Source organism: Homo sapiens, chromosome 17, assembly GCF_000001405.40.
Source record: "Homo sapiens chromosome 17, GRCh38.p14 Primary Assembly".
NCBI lineage: Eukaryota > Metazoa > Chordata > Mammalia > Primates > Hominidae > Homo > Homo sapiens.
Window position 1 is genome coordinate 36,725,642 of NC_000017.11, and position 17,368 is coordinate 36,743,009.

Genomic DNA, 17,368 nt, shown 5'->3' on the forward strand with positions numbered 1-17,368 from the left:
ATCTTTTTAGAAATCTACTTTCTTGCCCCTCAAATCCAAAATTCAGTCTGTCTCACACACACACATACTGATCAGAATCTCCAGGCTTGGGCTCAGAACTAATGTTTTTTAAAGCTGCCCAAGTGACTCTGATATGTGGACAATTTGGGATATCCTGGCTTAGGATATGATCAAGATGATAAATATTTAATGTACATTTGAAAATAATTGATATCAGATTGTAGGATATAAATGTTAAACATTCAATTATAATTTAAATATTGTTTATACAAGCCTGTGTTCATAGCCATGTTCCACTCCCATGTCTGCTTAACCACATGGGGGAATATTGGAGTTGAGGGTGAGGAAGGGTGCGTGTCTCAGTGGGGCTTGAAATTGGGACTGGAAGGAGAGCTTGGCCCAGATCAGAGACATGAAGCAACCAAAAGGGAAAGAGAGAAGGCCGGGCATGATCTGCAAAGCTATAGAAAGAGCTGGTTACTACATCCACTTCCTTTGGCCAGAACTCCACCTCCACAGAGTCCTCAAAGATCTTCTCCTGAACTCCGCACTCCCCAGCCTTGAGAGGAGACACAGGAGCTGGAGGAAGCAGCTTTATCCCTCACTTTGTGGTTCAGTCCAGCCTGTTTTCCAAGGGGTAAAGGGCAGTGGAAGGATAACTAAGAAAATAATAATAACAAATGAAAGCATCTCTGTGGAGCTTCGAGATGGTTTTGTGGTTTTGACATCCTTGGTTTATTGAGTCTGCTATGCTTGTCATTACAAGGAACTACATCGTCTCTTTAGTGTGACCAACACATGCTGGGTCCCTGCTATGTGCCAATCCAACCCTGTAAGATGGAGGTCATGACTATTTCCATTTTACAGATGGGGAACTGTGGCTCAGAACCCAGATTCCTTGACCCCAAGGCTCATGATTTTCCCGCATGCCTTCCTGGGGATGGCTCCAGCCGATGGAGCCTGGGATGAAGAGACCGACCAGCTCCCTGGACCACACCCTGTCCTTCTCCTTGTGGTCCCTTAGCTCTCCTTTCTTGTTGCTTCTGCCCTCATCCTTTTCCTGAGTGGTCTCTCCTCAAGTGTGTGTCTGGTGCCCCAGGAAGCTCCTCTTTCACCCACCCCTCCACCACCTGCCCTGTTTGATTTGACTTCATTCATTCGCTTGTCTATTCATCTACCTTTTTTCACCTAGCAAGCACTTGGCAGGCTTGGCCAGGCATTGTGCTAGGCTCGGGTGTCCAGAGGTGAGGAAGACCTTTCAGAGCTCCCAAGCAAGAGAGGGCAGTACATTCAAGGCCAATACATTGGGTTCGGCACTCCAAGGGCAGAGAAGAGAAACCAGCCTCCAACTTGGTCCTGTGAAAACTGGACTTTTCATGTTGCACATGACAAGGGTCCAGCCAGAATGGCTAAAACAACCCACACTCTGGGGGTACCTCAAGCAATGGGGATAGAATCGACCCTGAGGATGCCCAGCAGATCAATTGCATGGGCCACGGGCCTTCCTGGGATGGAAGGGTGCGCCTTCCTCTAATCTTCTACCCGCAGGGCCCCTCAGGAGGCTTCTTTATTCTGGTTAACTTTCAGGTCCCTCCAAATGATCTGTCTTTAGAAGGGCTCCACCTCCTTCTAAGTGGCATTCTTCCCTCGAGTTCTGTCCATCCCACTGTGTGTGTATGTAAGATAGCAAGAGAGATGGAGGCACACATGCATGCTTATATCCCATCTCAGCCTTTCTCCGTGGCGGGTCTTGGGCAGTAATTGAAGAGCCGGAGCCCCCATTCTATGCAGTGAGCCCCACTCTTGCCCTGTGTGGGGAGCATGTGGGCAGAGCCACCACAGGATTCCCTATCCTGGTGGGGAAGAGAAGGCATGACTTGAGAGCTCTCACCAGAGCCTAGGCTCAGGAGAAGAGCAAGCCAGTGGGACAGGAAGGAAGAGGAGGAGAAAAAAGGACAGACCTTGACAGTGGGATGACCAAGGGCAGAATCCTGGGACAGCCAACAGCTGCCACCTCCCAGGAAGACAGGAACCAGGGCCCCTTGACAGGAGCAAGACTCCCACCCCCAGTGGCTGAGCCTCCTGCCTGGGAGGTTGGCTGGACCCAACCAGGCCGGGGTTGTATGTGTCCCCCAGCGGGGACAGTGTTGGCAGTTCTAAGGTCTCAAGGGCCAACGGGTTAGGCAGGCAGCAGGAAGGTTTGTGGTGTCAGCCCTTTTCTAGCTCCCTCTCCCTCATCCTACACCATGTCCCCCGACAAGCCCCCAACCCAATCCTCCTCCTCCTGTCCTGCTCCTCCTCCCTTTTCCATTTGGAAGAAGGAGGCTTGCTGTCTTTGTATTTTAACTGTAGCAAAAAGATTAAATTGTTTACGAGCCGGGAGCCTCTGCTGGTTGGATGAGCCGGAAGAGACAAAGATAGACATTCTAATTCTCCCCCGTTCTCCAGGCCTCCGTCCCCCTGGCTGCTGCTAATTCTTTTATCTGCCCCCAACACTCCAGGCATTATGTGCATTCATAAAAAAGGGGGGGTGGAGTGGAGAGAACCCTCGCCGAAGCCAGCAAAATTACTGTTCTCTGCGCGGTTTCTCTGATAGCAATCTCTTGAATGCTGATTACTTTTTTCCCCTCTCCCCTGCCCCCTCCCCCCTTCCCCAGCACCCAACATAAGTTGGTCTTTAACCCTTTATCTTTAGCAAGCAGAAAGACATGGAAAACATCTCACTCAGTGGGTGGAAAAAAAAAAAAAAGCAAGGGGGGCAAGGAAAGAAAAAAAAACAACAACCCAGCACAGAGAAGAATTACTGTTATCTCCTCACCAGAAGAGGAACAGCAGAGATAAGGGAAGCCTGAAGAATTAAAAGAAACGTAGCGTTGGGGCTCTAAATTCACGCCGAAGCCGGCTGTATTTGTCTGTCACGGGGGTTCATAATTTTCTGAGGTTGTTTTGATAGACTTATTGTGCGGACTGCATAGAAAACTCATCAGCATTTGTTGCCTCTGAGCGTTATTGTCAGAGGTAACTGCGTGTCTGTAGACTGGGGGAGATAATGGCTGAAGTAGAAAGCAGATAAAGCCCAGGCTCTTCTCATTAAGGACTATCTCTGCCTCCGCAGACCGGCCGGGATTGAGTGACTGGGGCGGCAGCACGGGGCATACATTATGCCAGCAAAAGCAAAAGGCGGCGGCATGAGTGCGGGCAGCTGGAGGACCCCGTGGCCCTGGATGAATGGCCGAGGGGAGCGCTTGGATGGTGCCCGCAGTGTGGTCGGCTGCAGGGGTGCCAGTCGGGGACACCCAGGGGCTCCCTGAGCTCTGGGGGTTTATGGCAGAGCAATGAGGAGGGGTTGCAGTGCAGGCAATTCTTTGGTTCCATTCTGACATTGCACAGAGGGGGAAACTGAGGTCTGGAGAGGGGAAGGGGTGTGTCTGGGGCCTCCTACTGAGGGAGGGCAGAGCAGGTTCCTCTGATTCTGGGGTATTTATCCAGATCCATGCCTCGCCTGTGCAGTGGCTGAGAGATGGGAGCCTCCCATAACCCAGTCCACTGTCCACGTGGAGATGTGGAGGGGTCATATACTGTTAATACCTGTGGGTCCCTCCCTCCCTCCCTTCCTCCAGCACATTTTCTTGGAGTGCCCATGAGAAGCCAGGCACTGGGGAATGTGCGGGCACTGTGGTCATGGGCGCACTGTGTGTAACCCCCCAGCCATCCTCCTCCCTCCATCTACTATGGAACTACCCTCTCCAGCAAAGGGGGCAGGCAGACCTGGGCAGAGAGGTTCACAGTGTCCTCAAGCCAAGCCTAAGGCCAGATGGGGACAAGCTGTGCAGTGAAAGACTAGAGGCTAGGTCAGCAGAACTGGGCTTTGTGTAGCCTGGGAGGGGGACACTTCTCTGGCCCCTTTCCCATCTGTGAAATGGGAACAATAATGTAGCCCACTTCATAGGGTGGTTGAAAGGACTGATGAGATAGTTTATAGAAGAAGGTTTGTTAGCACGTTGCCTGGACACACTAAGTGCTCGGTAAGCCTGTTATTATCTTTATAATGATTGTTCCTCTGGTGGCCCTAAGGACCTTCTGGACAGCTCAGTACTGCTTCCTTCATCTGACCCAGGGTGGGGCCTCCAGGGAAAGGCATCTGAGCTGTAAGTGAATGTTTTATCCTTGTCACATGCTCCCATAGAGGGGAGGCCTTGGCGTTGTCTGAGTCCATTCCTTTCAGTTGGCTGATGAGAACTGAGCCCAGGGAAGAAAGGGCCCAGCTCAGGGCACACCGCAGGCTCCAGGCAGAACTGGACAAAGGACCGGGTCTCACAGCCATGGCAAAACCTTGCATGCTTTCTTTGGCAGCATCCTGCCTTCTGGGTTGCTTCTGCCTGGGAGGCTGGCCAGGCAGGAGAGTACTGGTGCATGGCTGCAGCCATCAGGGGAAGAGGGGACCCAAGGCCCTGCCACCAGCCCCAGGGACCCTGAGCCCATATCTGAGGCTGTTCTGGTCTCTTGCCTCCTCAGAATGACCTGGGCCAGGCTTGGAAATGCCAGCGCTTTTAGCAGTTGATTGATCTGCATTTGGTTTGGCTCAGGCCAACTGAGAGGGGCAGCATCAACAGCGCAGGGATTTAGTGATTGAGGGGGAGATGGACTACAGACTGGAAGAGGGGCTCCGGACAGACGCTGGGGAGTCTAGAGGGTCAGCCTGGGGGTCGCTGACCACAGAATCTGCAGTATGAGCACAGGAGCCACTCTGGCCCTGTAGGACTAGTGGGGAAAACCAACACAATAAAAGTTCTTACAAACAACCAGTGCAGTGAATGAGAAAACTACAGGAGTACAGAGGAGGGAGGAGCCAGCCTGGTCCAGGGTGGGGAATGGAGAGCCCAGGAGACAGTAGAGTCAAGACTGGAAGATTAGATAGTGGACACGGTGGGGAAGGGCATTCCAAGCAGAGGGAACAGCCTGTGTAAAGACCCGGAGGCAAAGAAGAGCGCGGGATGAGTGGGAACAGTGAGGAGGTGGGTGTGTGCATAGGGGAGGGGGAGGCATGTTGGGAAGAACCTCAAATGCCAGAGGAAGAAGACAGGGCTTTATCCAGTGCATCAATGGGGTCCCCTGAGTGTTCCAAATAGCTGGAAATGCTCACCTCCTGGAAAATTGGGCTCTACCAGTGACCACTGCCCTTGTCAACTCCCTGCCCCGCAATGTCCCCAGCTGTTATTGAGTTAGTGAACTCAATAAGGGGCTGATAAATGATGGCAGAGCCTGGCAGGAGTGGCAGAATGTGGAGCGGAAAGAGCATAGACTCTGGAATGCCTGCATCTCATGGATTTAAAATTAAATCTCCGTTTCAAGTTGTGTGACTTTGGGGGCTAGGCATGTAACCTCCCTGGACTCAGTTTTCTAATCTATAAAGTGGGGACAACAGCTGTCTCCAAGCATAACTGTGAGAATTATCTGGGGATGGTGTGAAGTGCCTGGCATGTCGCAGCCTTGAAACAAATGCCAGTTCTCCCTCCCCCACCCACCACAGGCTGCCAGCATTCCAGCTGGGGCAGTGTGTCCCAGTACCTTGTCCTTGCCCTCCTCAGGCAGCGCTCACCTGCAGGCAGCCCTGTGGGCTGTCACTCATCATCTGCCCTGTGCCCAAGCATTGTCTCCCTTGCTTTTGCTGACAGTGATGTCCTGGCTTTGGTCCCAGCCTGTCCTCCTTGGCAGAACACCTGGCATTTCACTCCACCCTCGCCCCCAACCGGTAATACCTGTCAGCCCAGCCTTGCCAACATCCCTAGATGTGACCTACACCTGCCTAGACCCACAGACTGTTCCCTAGACCCTTTTGGCTGTCCAGGCCAGACCTGTCCCTAGTCCACATGTCAGTTCCGTGCCCTGTAACACAGCTAGCTACTGGGAGGTTCTGGACCCTGGAAGGTCTCAGGGTTCCCCTGCAGCTTGGGTTGGGTGCAGGGGTAGATTCAGGGTGGCAGGCTCAGCTCAACCTCACAGAGAGAGTTATGGCTGAGAGTTATTTCCTGAGAGTCAGGAAACTTGGCTGAACCCTGGCTAATGGGCTGTGTGGCTGTGGGCAATACACTGGCCCTCTCTGGGCCTCAGATTTTTAACCAATAATTGGAGAGAATCCATCCCTAAGGCCTGTTCTGGCTCTAATGGTCTCGGATTCTAGGAGGAAAGGGCCAGAAGTCTGCAGCAAAGGTCTGTAACCCCCTTCCTCTGTGCCCTGAAAGGGGCAGCAGGAAAGCCTCATATCCCAGCGCAGCCCCGCCTCCGCTGTCTTGGCGAGGCACGCACTCACTCCTTGGGATTTACAATGGGCTGAATTCATTTGCATAACAAAATTGGCTCGGGTATCCAAGTGTTGCAGGAAGACAAGTGTAACATTACGCAGAACAAGCAGCTGGGAGGAAGGTTACCACCAACAATGAGGGAACAAGATGCCCGCCCACCTGCTGCCTCTGCCAACCTTTCATCCACAGGCATGGGGGGCTGCCCGGGGGCAGTGTCAGGGGTGGGGGAGAAGAGATCTGCAGGCATGGGAGATGGCTGCCTGCCCAGGGATCTGGGCTGGGTGGATGGGTCGGATGGGAGGGGAACTCCTGCTCCTAGGGTCTTCTCACTGTTAGGGTGAAGAGGTTTCCTTTGCTATTTCTAAATGCCTGCACCATTTAAATGGTCCCAAAATTATCTCCCCACTCTCAGGACTTGATAACACAAGAACTTAACCACTAACCATGCACCGGTCCACTCATCCACTCTCATCCATTCACTCGCTCATCCACACATCTGCCATCTATCCACCTGCCACCATCCATCCGCCTGCCACCATCCATCCATCCATTCATCCATTCACTCATCAATTTACCCATCCGCTCATCTCCCCATCCATCTGCCTATCCATTCTTTCATCCTTCCACGCACCTTCCCACTCTCACCCACTCACCTATACACTCATCTATTTACTAATCCCTCTGCCCACCCATGTGTCCATCCATCTATCCTTCCATCCACCCACTCATCCACTTACTCATCCACCAGGCCCCTCATTAATTCACCCATCCACCCTTGCATCCATCTAACAAAGCCAGATGTTGGACACGTGTTTGTGCCAGGTACAGCACTGGGGATTTCTCTGTGCCTCAGCTTCTTCGTCTATAAAATAAGGGTAATAATGGGATCTACCTCACAAGCTTGACCATGGCCCAGACTAAGTGCTGTGTAAGTGTTTTCTGATGTTAATCTTATTAGGCACTGGGGAATCTAAAGGTAAATAAAACAGAGTTGCTGCCCTAAAGGAAATCACACACTTCCTGGGGAAAAATGCAAGAAAACTGGCATTAGGGTCCCTCGTGGGATGTGCTCATCTGTAGGGAAATATTAAGGGTTGCGGGACGGCCAAAGCTTGGGCGTCCTGTCTCATTCCAGGCTCATTTGGGAGGTAGGAGGGGACAAGAAGTATCGTTATTGATCTTTGTATATTACAGATGAGGAAACTGAGGCCTAGGAGAGTTAAAGGACCGCCCAAGACCACACCACCGCACAGAGACACCAGGACTGAACGCTTGTGTCTTCTGACTTGCAGCTTCCAGCAGCCTGGATCATGCTCTTCTTACCTCATCTGGGTAGCAAGAGAAGGCTGCTCTAAAGCTACCTTACTCCCAGGTTGCAGGAGCAGAACCAAGACGTTCAGATCCCTTGAGGAAGAGAATGGCTCAGCATGAGGGGGCCTCACCCAGAGCCCTGGGTCTGCTCTGAGCCCCTCACTTAAAGAGGGAAGCTGACCAAATGAGGTGAGCCTGCTCAGGGGACTAGGGCTGGGGAAGGTGGACATCCATTTGGTCTTTGGAACTGAGGCCTGAGCAATGCATTCTGGCTGTGCTATGGGTCGGGGGGCGCACCACGGAGCTTGACCTCAGCATAGAATGTGGATTCTGCTTAACACACCTGAGGGCTGCATGGGGCACAGGATGGAGATGTGCTGTATGCAATCCTAAGCAGTGGAGCCAAGATCAACCCATGAAAGCTACAGGAAAATATGCCTACATGAAATGTACAGGAAGGCACATTTGATAATTTCTAACTATAATGATCAGTTCCCACCTCACAGAACTGTTCCAGGCAAAGTGGTCATGTCCTTGTCACTAAAAGCACTGAGATGCTAGAAGGGGGCACAGTGTGGTAGAAGAATTGTGGCCTTTGGAGCATGTCAGGCCTGAGTTCAAATCCAGATGTTGCCTGATGCTATCTGCGTGACCTCAGGCAAGTCACAGAACTTCTCTGAGGCTAGTCTGAAACATGGGAATTAGAAATCTCCATCACAATAGCTTGTGAGAATCCAGTAACAATGACCAATGCTTAACAGTGTGCTGGCGGGGCGTGGTGGCTCACGCCTGTAATCCCAGCACTTTGGGAGGCTGAGGTGGGTGGACCACTTGAGGTCAGGAGTTTGAGAGCAGCCTGGCCAACGTGGTGAAACCCCATCTCTACTAAAAACACAAAATTAGCCAGGTATGGTAGTGCACACCTGTAATCCCAGCTACTCGCGAGGCTGAGGCAGGAGAATTGCCTGAACCCCAGAGGCAGAGGTTGCAGTGAGCCAAGACTGTGCCACTGCACTCCAGCCTGGGCAAAAAAAGTGAGACTCTGGGCTGGGCACAGTGGCTCATGCCAGTAATTCCAGCACTTTGGGAGGCTGAGGTGGGTGGATCACCTGAGGTCAGGAATTTGAGACCAGTCTGGCTAACATGGTGAAATCCCGTCTCTACCAAAAATACAAAAAATTAGCCGGGCCTGGTGGTGCACACCTGTAATCCCACCTACTCGGGAGGCTGAGGCAGGAGAATCGCTTGAACCTGGGAGGGGGAGGTTGTAGTGAGCCGTGATAGCGCCACTGCACTCCAGCCTGGGTGACAGAGCGAGACTCCATCTCAAAAAACAAAACAAAACAAAACAACAGTGTTCTGAGTAAGTCTTCCTCACAGCCAATGTGTCAGACAGGTCCTTTAATTGTTTAAATAAACTTTTCACTTTAGAATAATTTCAGCTATATGGAAAAGTCACAGAGGTAGTGCAGAGAGTTCCCATAAGCTCCCCACCCAGCTTCCCCTACTGTTAACATCTTACGTCAGCGGCCAGCATAGTATTTTTTCAAAACTAAGAAACCAACATTGGTACATTTCTCCACCTTACTAATGAGGTTTCAGAGGCACAGAGAAGCTGAGCTTCCAGCCCAGAATCACAATTCATTATGACACATTCAATGAAATGCAATGTAGGAGAATGCTCAGCACTGATGTCTTTCTCATTCCAGAAAACCTAGGTGGGTCTGGGCTCCACTGTCTGTCTTATTAAGAGGCCCTGGCGGGCTGGGCCTCATCTCTGCACCTGTGTCCATCTTCCCTGCAGCAGAACAGAGCAACAGAGCAAGTGGCACCAGAGAGACCACCCACGGAGGGCACTTCGTGAAGAGCGAGGATTGGCTCTGACCAGTGCTTATCAGCAGGCACACAGTAGGTGCTCTATAAGGATTTGTTGCATAAATTAACAAATGAGCAGTGAAGTAATGAAGTAGAGAGCATTTCACTTTGTGTAGAAGACTGAATTCAGGCACTTCCAGGAGCTTTTCCAAATGTAAAGCTCTGGGAGCCTGAGATGACCAGTCTCCTCCCTAGCTGGGCTCCATTCCTCCCCTGAGAAATTGGAAGCACCAATTTGCATCCTGTGTACAGCAGGCACTCAACGCATGATGCCGATATTAGTATCTCCACCCACATTTTCCCTTGGTCCCAATTTCACCTCCACTTATTTAAATTTTATTTTACCCTGTTGGGCATTTTCTGCAAGCTGTCTCCAATCCTTGAAGGGGGTGTGTGTGTGTGCATGTGTGTATCCATGGTGGTACATAAAGAAACCAAGAGGCTGGGCGAGGTGGCTCATGCTGGTAATCCCAACACATTGGGAGGCCAAAGTAGTAAGATCACTTAGCCTGGGAGTTCAAGACCAGCCTGGGCAACATAGGGAGACTCCATCTCTATAAAAAATAAAAAGTTATCTGGGTGGGTGGCACATGCCCGTAGTCCCAGCTACTTGGGAGGCTGAGGTGGGAGGATCACCTGAGCCCGGGAGGTTGAGGCTGCAGTGAGCCATGATCACGTCACTGTACTCCAGCCTGGGCAAAACTTTATCAAAAACAACAACAACAAACAACAACAACAACAGAAAACACAAGCATGGAAAGAAAGACACTGTGGAGTCAGTCACTGATGGTAATAATTGGTAATAATGGGGTAATAATGTGTCGGAGGTGAGATTGGTGGGTGGTCCTCTACTTTGAGGTTCCCAAGGGGCATGCCAGGCCTCGTGCTGGGGATGCTGTAATGGAATGCCTAGCCTCTGTTTTCAGGAGCTCAGAGCCTGGCAGAGGGGTCAGCCCATGACACCAGATGTGGTAAGAATCCCCTGGGGTCATCCTGGGCACTCCAGCAGAGGGTCCTCCAGGCACCCGCCCCCAGAATCACACAGGCTGCAGCATTTCTCTGAACCAAGGGCTCTTAGGGCCCTGGCCCTCACATGGGAACCTCCTCACCACTTCTCTCCTTCAAAATCCTTCTCTTCACTTCCTGTCCCTCCTGCATCTCCTCCTTGTCCCCTCAGCAGCCCCACAGCTTTGTGTTGGCCTCTGCCCCGCAGTCTCAGGCCTCCATGTGGGAGTTTGGGTTTGGCTCCCTCGGGAGACTGTGAGAGCCTCGGAAAGAGGAACTCGGCTCCTCCCCAGCATCCAGCACAGTGCCCCTCAAGTGGGAAGACGTGAAAAGGTCCCTCAAAGACCTGGTGCTCCCAATATACATCTGGCCTTGGCCCCAGTGGCAGGAGCCAGCAGCAGGTCTGAATTTATTCATCTGCAGGGTGAGAATGAGAAAGGAGGGCATGCCCCGGCCTGGGAGGATAGGCCATCACCGAGACGGTCGCCTCTGGGGCTGCTACCGCTCTCCCCTCCTCCATGGTGACCCTGGGAGCTCTCGGAGCAGGTTCAACTGTGTTCATCAAAAGATATGGCCAAAACCTAAATCCCAGTGCCCGTGACGTGACCTTATTTAGAATAGAGTCTTTGCAGATGTAATTAAGGATTTTGAGATGACATCATCCTGAATTCAGGGTGGGTCTAAATCCAATGGCTGGTTTCCTTATGAGAGACAGAAGAGGCAGATTTGAGACACAGAGAAACATAGAGAAGAAGGCCATGTGAGGACAGAGGCAGAGATTGGAATGACTCCCAGCTACAAGCCCGGGAACACCAAGATTGCCAGCAGCCTCCAGAAGGTGGGAGAAAGACAAGGAATAGATCCTCCTTCAGATCCTCCAGAAGGAAGCAGCCCTGCCAACACCTTGATTTCAGACTTCTGGACTCTGAAACTGTGAGAGAATACATTTCTGTCTCTTGAAGCCACCAAACTTGTGGCAATTTGCTGCAGCAGTGCTAGGAAACTAATGCCGCCCCTTTCTCTGTATCTTGGTTCACCTGTCCCCAGCACGATTTTTTGGCAACCTCTTAGAACAATGAGAGGACATCACCCATCCTTGCCCCTCAATCCAAGGATTGTGCTGAGAGATCTCACCAGCAACACTGCCACCTAAATGCTGGTAACTTCCAGCACACCCCTCCCTGTGCCTCAGTTTCTCCATCTGGATAGTGAAGAGTTGGGTAAGCTGATTTCTAAGGTCCTTTCTAGCCTTAAGAGTCCACATGACCCCAAACTATAAAGCTACTAGAAGAAAACATGGGGGAAATGCCTTATGACATTGGTCTGGGAAAAGTTCTTTTGGATAAGACCTCATAAGCACAAGCAACAAAAGCAGAAGAAGAAAGTGGGATGACATCAAACTGAAAAACTTTGGCCCAGCAAAGAAAACAATCAGCAGAGTGAGGTACAGAATGGGAGAAAGTATTTTCAAACTATGCATCTGATAAGGGGTTACTCTCCAGAAGATGTAAGGAACTCAAATAACTCAGTAGCAGAAAACTACTCAGAAGACTGGGGAGGGAGGATTGCTTGAGCCCAGGAGGTTGAGGCTACAGTGAGCCATGGTCTTGCCACTGCACTCCAGCTTGGGACCCTGTCTCAGAAAAAACAAATTATTTGATTAAAAATCAAGGAACAGACCTGAATAAACATTTCCCAAAAGAAGAAATGAAAATGGCCAACAAGTATACAAGTATATGAAAAAATGTTTAACATCACTTTTTTTTTTTTTTGAGACAGGATCTGGCTCTGTCATCCAGGCTGGAGTGCAGTGGCACGATCTAGGCTCACTGCAGCCTCTGCCTCCCAGGCTCAAGCCATCCTTCCACCTCAACCTCCTGAGTAGCTGAGACCACAGATGTGTGCCACCATGCCTGACTAATTTTTGTATTTTTTGTAGAGACAGGGTTTCACCATGTTGTCCAGGCTGGTCTCAAACTCCTGAGTTCAAGTGGTCTGCCCGCCTCAGCCTCCCAAAGTGCTGGGATTACAGACATGAGCCACTTCATTTGGCCCTAACATCACTAATCATCAGGAAGATGCAAATCAAAACTACAATGAGATATCATCTTACCCTAGTTAGAATGGCTATTATCAAAAAGACAAAAAATAACAAGTGCTGGTGTGGTTGTGGAGAAAGGGGAACTCTTATACACTGTTGGTGGGAATGTAAATTAGTATTGCCACTATGGGAAACAGTATGGAGGTTCCTCAAAAAATTAAAAATAGCTTGTAATCCAAGCACTTTGAGAGGCTGAGATGGGAGGATTGCTTGAGCCCAGGAGTTCAAAGTTGTGATGAGCTATGATTACACCACTGCACTCTAGCCTGGACAACAGAGAGACACCCTATCTCAAAAGAGGAAGAAAAGACTAGGAAGACAGAAAGACAGGGAGGAAGGAGGGAGGGAGGGGAGGAAGGAGGGAGGGAGGGGAGGAAGGAGGGAGGGAGGGAAGGAAGGAAGGAAGGAAAGAAAGTAGGAAGGAAGGAAAGAAAGTAGGAAGGAAGGAAAGAAAGGAAAAAGGAAAGAAAAGGACTATGATCCAGGAAGGAATAGAACTAATATGATCCAGTAATCCCACTACTGGATCCAAAGGCAATGAAATCAGTATGTCAAAGAGACATCTGCAGTCCTTTATTTATTGCAGGGGTATTCATAATAATCAAGATATGGTATCAACCTAAGTGTCCATTGGTGGATGAGTAAAAAAGAAAATGTGGTACATAGAAACAATGGAATACTATTAATCCATGAAAATATGAAATCCTGTCATTTGTGGCAACATGATGGATTGGGATGGACTTGGAGGACATTATGTTATGTGAAATAAGCAAGGCACACAAAGTCAAATACTGCATGATCTTATTCATATGTAGAATCTAAGAAAATTGTTCTCACAGAAGTAGAGAGTAAAATAGTGGTTACCAGAAACAGGGAGCTGGGGGTAGGGAGGGTGGGATGGGGAGAGATTAGTCAACAGATACAAAGTTATGGTTAGATAGGAGGTGTTCTATTATTGCACAGTAGGAGGGCTGTAATTAATAGTACTGTGCCAGGCACAGTGGCTCATGCCTGTAATTCCAGCACTTCGGGAGGCTGAGGCAGGAGGATGGTTTGAACCTAGAAGTTCAAGACCAAGCTAAGCAACATAGGGAGACCCTGTCTCTACAAAAAATAAAAAGTTAGCTGAGCGTGGTGGAGCATGCCTGTAGTCGCAGCTACCTCCCACCTCGGCCTCCCACAGTGGGATTACAGGCATGAGCCACTGCTCCCAACCTCACTTTGGGCTTTTCTTTCTTTCTTTTCTTTTGGTTTTTCTTTTTCCTTTTTTTTTTTCCAAGATGGAGTCTCACTCTGTTGCTCAGCCTGGAGTGCAGTGGCGGCATGCTCTTGGCTCACTGCAACCTCCGCCTTCCAGGTTCAAGCAATTCTCCTGCCTCAGCTTCCCAAGTAGGTGGGATTACAGGTGCCTGCCACCAAGCCCGGCTAATTTTTGTATTTTTAGTAGAGATGGAGTTCCACGATGCTGGCCACGCTGGTCTCAAACTCCTGACCTCAGGTGATCCACACGCCTCAGCCTACCAAAGTGCTGGGGTTACAGGTGTGAGCCGCCGTGCCCGGCTCACTCTGGGCTTTTCTAAGCTCTCTCCATTAGTCCTTACAACAACCTTGTGAATTAGGACTCAATACCCCAATTCCACAGAGGAGGAAACGAAGAAGTTGCGGGGGTTGGCTTCCTTGGGCCGGGCCAGGGATTCTGCAGAAGTGGCAGAGGTACCCCTGTGTGCTGTCCAGCTTGAAGAATGGGGCAGGGTAGGGGCACAGTCTTGGTGAGGGTGAGAGATCGCTTACAAGGAACTGAAACATTCAAACTTATTTAAGGCGAAAGGAAAGAGGGAAGAGAGGGAGGGAGGAGGAAGGGAAAAAAGAAAGACTATATGGGGGGATTTATGGGAGGATTCAGGGGTCTCTGCCACTGAGAGCCCACTCAGGCCCCCCAGTCCCCTTGCCGTCCCAGTCAACTGCAGATGCTAAATTCTCCTCAGCAGCCCGATCTGGGGGAGGGCACTCTAGGAACACGAGATTGGGCCTGTGATGTCGGGCATGTGACCAGGTGGTGCCCAGAGCTCTGCTGACCGCAGGGGTGACCTCAGTGAGGGGCTGCCCCACTTAGGCCCTCATGCCTGTCTTCTGCCAAGTGAGGGCTCTGGCTCTCGGCTAAGCAAGTCTGTGATCCATCTGCTCTCTCTAATTAATAATGACAGTAGCACCGCTTCCCGAGCATTGATTGCACTGTGGCCCTGAGATTGGTGCAGAGCTGGCTGCCCCACACCACCACTTTCTAGCTCTGTGGCCTGAATGAGTTTCTTAGTCTCCAAACCTTCATTTCCCATCTGAAATCGGGATGTTCTAGCTCCCACATAGACGTTTCAGAACCAGCCGAGCTCATGTGTCAGTGGGGAGCTGGGGACACAGTAAGCCCTGTTTCTCAGCATCATGGCTCTGTCATTATTCTTATTCCTACAACACTACCAACATCGAGGACATACCAAGCACGGTACTAAATGACTTCTTAACTCATTAGTCCTTATGGCCCCAGAGAGGAGGAGACTAAGGCTCCGAGAAAGCACCTGGCTGCTCACATCAGGCCCATGGTCCACAGCAGAGCCCTGCACACCTGGTGAGCTGTGCGACTCCCAGACCTCACTAAGCCAGAGCCCAGCAGAGTCTTCCAAAGACAACAGAATCTTCCCACGTTCAGTGGGAGGAAGGAGGAAGTATTTATTGGGCATCTACTGTGTTCTCATGATGAAATTTAAGTTTTACACCTGATATAGGTGGTTGGTCTAATTATGTTCAAGGTAGAGATGAGGAAACTAGGCAGAGAGGTTCCGTAGCTTACACTGGGGCGTCTGGCATCGGACATGAGAGCCAGGAGCTTCCCAGACTGGAGCACTGCAGGTGCTCCAGTGGGTGGGGTGTGTGCTGGGGTGTGTGTGTATGTGAGAGAGAGTGTGTGGGTGGGAGCGTGTGTATGAGTAGGGGATCAATGTTTGCCTCCTCCTTCCTCCCACTGAACTGACCACAGGGTGTGAGTGCATGTGTGTGTGAGAGTGTGTGCTGGTGTGTAAGAGTGTGTGCTGGTGTATGTGTGTAATAGTGTGTGCTGGCATGTGTGTAAGAGAGTGCTGGTGTGTGTATGTGTGTAAGAGTGTGTGTGCTGGTATGTAAGAGTGTGTGTGCTAGTGTATGTGTAAGAGAAGGTGCTGGTGTATATGTATGTGTGTAAGTGTGTGCTGGTGTGTGTATGTGTATGTAAGAGTGTGTGCTGGTGTGTGTGTAAGGGTGTGCTGGTGTGTGTAAGAGTGTGCTTGTGTATATGTTTGTGTGTAAGAGTGTGCTGGTGTGTGTATGTGTATGTAAGAGTGTGTGCTGGTGTGTGTGTAAGACTGCTTGGATGTAAGAGTGTGTGCTGGTGTGTGTGTGTATAAGAGAGTGTGTGCTGGTGTGTGTATGTGAGACTGTGTGTATGGGTGTGTGAGAAAGAGTGTGTGAGAGAATGTGTGTGTGCTTGCGGATGTGTGAGAGAGGGAGATGGGGATGTGTGTGTGCCTGTGAGACAGGTATACTTCTGTGTATGTGTTTACGTGTGAGAGTGTATGTGTATGTGTGAGAGTATGAGAATGTGTGTGTAGTGTGTGTGTGCATGACTGTGTGTGTATTGTGTGTTCGTGTGTGCATGTGTGACAGAGTGCTGTGTATGGTGTGTGAGAGAATGTGCTGGGTGTGTATGTGAGAGTGTGTGCTGTGGTGTGTATGTGAGAGTGTGTGTGCTGGGTGTGTGTGATGTGAGAGGTAGATATATGAGTGTGTGAGAGGGAGGAAGAGGGTGTGAGAGAATGTGTGTGAGAGACTGTGCTTGCGGGTGTGTACGTGAGAGGGAGAGAGACGCGGGAGAGTGTGAGAGCGTGTGTGTCTGTGAGAGAGAAAGGTATACTTCTGTGCATGTATGTGTTGAGTGTGTGAGTATGTGAGACAGAGTGTGAGTGTGTATGTGTATGTGTGAGAGGAAGAGAGTTTGAGAGAATGTGTGTGTGCTGTGTGTGTGTGTGTGTGTGTGTGGCCAGGGAGGGGGCCTCTGTCTCCTGGGCTCCTTATATCAGGGACAGTGTCTGTGCGGTGTGGATGGGAGTCATAGGGAGGCCTGGGAGCTGAGAGCTGGGAGCAGGCACCAGCCTATTAATGCCGCCCTCCTGAGGTGGGTGCAGATAAGTGGCCCCAGGGGCCGGGCCCGGGCTGAGGCCCCTCTAACTGGCTTGTTGCCATGGAGATGCTAGCTGTGAATACAGGCCTAGAAGTCCAGCTCAAGCCTCCCCTTCCTGGCAAGAGAAGACCCCCAGCTGGGGTGTGTTTGTCTGGCAAGGGAACTGCAGAGCCATGCCGTCCACGCCCCCTCCCCCCCATTATTTAAAGCAAAGGCTTCCGTTCCTTCCATTTTCCCTCAGGAGGGCTGTCCTGGGTCAAGGGAGAAAATGGCTGTCTTGATGGTCCCGACACTGGGGAATGGTGGGTCCCCTTGCGGTTGGGTGACCAGGGCAGGCAGGGAAACACATGTGGTTACGCAGCCACACCTGTGTTCCAGACCGTACAGCCAACCCCACCCAGCGACCAGACTCCTGCTGGCATCGGGGACGCTGAGAGGTTCGGGTGGGTCCCCGAGCAGGGGCAAGTTTATGTGAAAACCACCAGCTCTCCTGAGGTGGGTTCTACCTGGAGTCAGGACACGTGAGGGTTTTCGTTAATGTTTTCTTGTGAAAAATTTCAAACATTAAAA

The 17,368-nt window shown here is 50.7% G+C and overlaps 1 long non-coding RNA gene across 3 annotated transcripts in view; it reads left to right on the forward strand.

Annotated features, from left to right (window-relative positions):
• Positions 1–17,368, forward strand: part of LOC105371750 (uncharacterized) — a 115,553-nt gene that overhangs the window by 67,748 nt on the left and 30,437 nt on the right. For all 3 annotated transcript variants that reach the window (XR_007065730.1, XR_002958156.2, XR_001752870.2), the window contains 2 exons: positions 7,497–7,802; positions 9,418–9,521. This is a non-coding gene — a long non-coding RNA (uncharacterized LOC105371750). The remainder of the gene's footprint in view (positions 1–7,496; positions 7,803–9,417; positions 9,522–17,368) is intronic.